At 34.3% G+C, this 3,996-nt stretch overlaps 1 protein-coding gene across 12 annotated transcripts in view; it reads left to right on the top strand.

Annotated features, from left to right (window-relative positions):
- Window positions 1–3,996, top strand: part of IMMP2L (inner mitochondrial membrane peptidase subunit 2) — an 899,849-nt gene that overhangs the window by 783,324 nt on the left and 112,529 nt on the right. The gene's annotated exons all lie outside the window — the stretch shown is intronic.

Here is a 3,996-nt window from a genome sequence, read left to right as displayed (position 1 = left end):
GTTTGTGCTGGGACTGGTTTGTATTGACTTCTGGGAGATGGTTATTAAGTTTTCAGTTTTTTGATTGATTGTTAAAATGTAGCCATGATTAAAAGTCAAATTTTATAAAATCGTTACTTATAATTAAAGGTAATAAATCCTCAAGACTTCGCTTTCTATTCATGTTACTGCATTTTACTACTCTACATGGTGGACAAAATGGTATAACACTGAGCACCACTTCCCAGCTGGATGTTCAATCATTTTAACCCGATGACTTGATTTTGGCCATGGTGAGAGAATTTGCACCACAAAATAGGCAGACACTACAAATCAGCTTCACCACACTGAAACCAAAGTGTTAAACATTTTCCAACACACCACTTATAGCTGAATAGTATTTGGAAAAAAAAATAGATGCTGTTACAGTTCTAGGGCCACATATCTAAAATGATGGTTCTTAAAGCACCTGTGTTTCTATCCTCTGCTTACCTTATTTTAAAATGTAATTTCTTTGGTTCCATCCTTATTCTTCTCAGTAAGGTTCTCTTGTCCAAGTAATTATTGTATACACTAAAATTTAAGAGCAGCTGTCCTAGAGCTTTCTGAAATATGGAGGAATAAAAATAAGTTTGCTCTATTTTAGTTTATTTTTACATTGAAAAAGAAGCTAAATTCTGGTGGTAATAGTAATGCTACAGCAATGAGAATAAAATCATTCACTAACTTACAACAGAAGTAAACGATGATGAATACGTGCATCATAAGAGATTATCAGCATCTTTATATCCCAGCACTTCTTCCAATAATGACATAGATGCTAAATACATGTTCCTTAAGTTGAAGACAAAATTCTGAATTGTTTGATATATTCTATTTCCTATATTTTGTTTAATACACTCTTTTCTTTAAGTTTTATATTTGGTCACATATGTAAAAACACAAAATTTAAAGTCTGTTTTTCTTATTAGATAGAAGTATTAAATAGAATTATTTAAAATATCTTAAAGCTTCTAGACTCTCTGTCCATTAGATTTCTTCACTGGAAAACTTTTGTATGACAAAATATTTTTCAGCTCCTATATTTTTGCCTTCATTTGGTGGCTCTAGAAGCCAGATGTTCATCTTAGTAAAGTTGACATAGTCTCATCTTCTTCCTAACCCAGCACTACCTTAAAAACTGCCAAGAAGTTTTAAGTGTGGGTGTTTCAGTAAAAAGGAATTCACTGCTGTCCATCAGTTAGAAAATGTTAGGTTTCCCTTTTTAGACTAACAGAACAATAAATGAAAAACAAGTCAAAGCTTTAGAACAGGAAAGACTTATTTTCAGTCTCTTAAAATAATTAATTAGATTTAAAATAAGACTGCATATGTAACCACCAAACTATATCTTTTTTAACAGTTTATTTGGCGTTAAGATTTTCTCCCTTGTAACTGTCAATATGGAAATTTTGATATAGTGGATCTGTAAGCCACCACTATTGCAGATCCTCAGAATAACACATATTGTAGCAAAATTAATGCAGAATGACACTTCTGCCAAACATATTTATAGAATGAAGCTTATATAACATAAGACATTCTAGAAGCAGTGTTCATTCTCCAGCTCTGCAGCTTTCTCAGCAGTATTCCTCAATATTATCTTTGGTATAGAATATTCATATTAAATTAACGGGCTAAAGAAACTTCGATTTACGGGGTCTTATTGGAACAGCAAGGTTAAAACTAGGTTGTAGGGAAAAATATTACTGTAGGAAATATGCATTAGTAGCAGGTTTGCTTTCAAATTGTCCCGGATGACTACATCTTGCTTATTAATATTGCTACAAATCTATTTATCCCCCATGGAAACATGGCTCGTGGGGTTGTCATAGCTCAGAAGAGTTGTGTTCACATATTTATGAAGTTATTGCCTGTGTTTTCCAGATGTGGCCCAACCAAGTGATTTTCAGGCACACCTGCCGAGCTGGGCTCCTGTGGTAGTTGCACAAGAATGCAGTCTTAAGAAGTATGCATCCCTGAATGGTGTGCCAATGATAAGAAGGCCCATGGGAAAGGATTTGAGACATTCTCAGGAATTTCTAGTGATACTAATTTCTTACTACTTTTATCCTCCCACACCTTCCTTATGTTTAACACAGAGCTGCTGTCAAATTCATAGCCACACATATTAACAAACCCTGTCTTAGAAAGTTGCAGGAAGTTACCATGAAGTTTACATGGTCCCTAGTCCACACTTCAATGTGTAAAGAAACACAAAATCAGTGGGGAAGACAAACATTTTTTTAAAAATCAACCCTCTGCAATAAGATAGAATAAACACAATACCAGATACAGTGGGAGGTATAAAGTAAGAAGTAGTCTTTTCAACTTGAGGCATAAAGAGAAAGCTTGACCAAGAAGGTGACCCATGGGCTGAGTTTTATAGTCGTCAGGCTTTCAAAAGAAATATTGGTACTTTCTAGAAATTGAGGATAAGTGGAAGATATAGATCTCTTCCCCATTTTAAAAATGAAAACAAGTTATAATCTGAATACTGCCATACATTTATCAGTATGCAAGTGCAGTTAGTCAACAACTTGTTAATTCCTACTCAATTCAACAATTAGCTTTAAGGAAAAGCTACTCCAACAATTAGCTTTAAGGAAAACTTCACTCCCTAGAAGATGCAACAGTATTATAGTGGTAGGATCAGAAAGCCTTCTGCTCTGCTCAGGTGATGGTGTCCTCAGTTAAGGGGGCCACACAGCTAAAGCAAACTCGAGACCTAGTGTGCTATTTGACTATTGGGCTGCTGGACTCTCGTTCATGGAACGTAGAGATACCTGTATCATTTTTCTGGGAAACCGCCTCTCTTAAATACCACTCATTTTTATCAAAGATTGTTTTTAACATTACTTACGCGAATTAACTCACCCTGTTGTACAGAAATAATGGTGATATTTGAAGTGCATGACACAACCATCTCTGTAGTGTGGACTCTTGATTATGATCTTCTGATGCTAACTGCCCTGGAGTGGGAATTACTAATGACTTTGGTGTTCATTAAACATCCATAGGGTGTACATTAGAGATAATTTACACACATACACAGTCACTGTTTATTATGAATTATTTTATTCAAATTACGGATTATTTATTATTGGCAGGAGTATGATGTTTTAACTATATTTTGAGGTTTATAAGTTCCTTCCTCAATAAGTTATTTTTCATGCGTTTTTTTTTACATGTGTGTATTTTGCTTATTTTATGCATGTATTTTAAAATAGCAAGTTGACTTTGTTGCCTCTGGAGTTCCACAGAACCAGGGTAATGCGTGGGCATGGAATACTAACAAGGAGAAACAGCTTCCTGTTTAAGAACAATTCCCATGTTTTTTTTTTAGAGGAGAAAATTGAGAGCTGTTTGGTGGTTGCCATACTTTACATTTACTTTACTCTACATTTAATGTTTTGTTCTCCAAGTAAAGAAGAGTAACATTAGATGTAGCAAAAACAAAACATATTTTTATTCTTCAGAGCTTTCAATTATGAAAGAACGAAACTTGAAGATGAAAAGTATTTTGAGGGTTCCTCTAGGTATGGCTTTGAACTAAAGACAAATGTGTGTATTTGAAAGTTTAAAACATTCAACATTTTTTGTGTGTGTCTTGGAATACCAAAATAAAACCTCCATGGGCTGCTCTCTAGTCATGGTTTTCTCTACTAGTTTAAGTTTAGAAAACACTTCATACAAATGCCCTCTTCTTTAGGTTTCCAATTGTTATCAAGTATTTACTTGGAATTTAAATAGAATTTTTCTGTTTCGGGTGACACTACCCATAGCAATTGACTCAACTTACTATCAGTTCTATGTTTTGTAAATGTACACACTTTAAGCTACACATACAAGCTGTATTAGATCAGAACCACACACACACACACACACACACACACACACAGCTGACTTAAGCATTATGCACTCGTAAAATATTTGGAAAATGCAGAAAAGTAAAAGAAAACAGGCATGATCTCATTA

The sequence above is a fragment of the Homo sapiens genome, chromosome 7 (genome assembly GCF_000001405.40).
Source record: "Homo sapiens chromosome 7, GRCh38.p14 Primary Assembly".
NCBI lineage: Eukaryota > Metazoa > Chordata > Mammalia > Primates > Hominidae > Homo > Homo sapiens.
The sequence above is the reverse complement of the archived record's forward strand: the minus strand, read 5'-3'. Positions and strand labels throughout refer to the sequence as shown.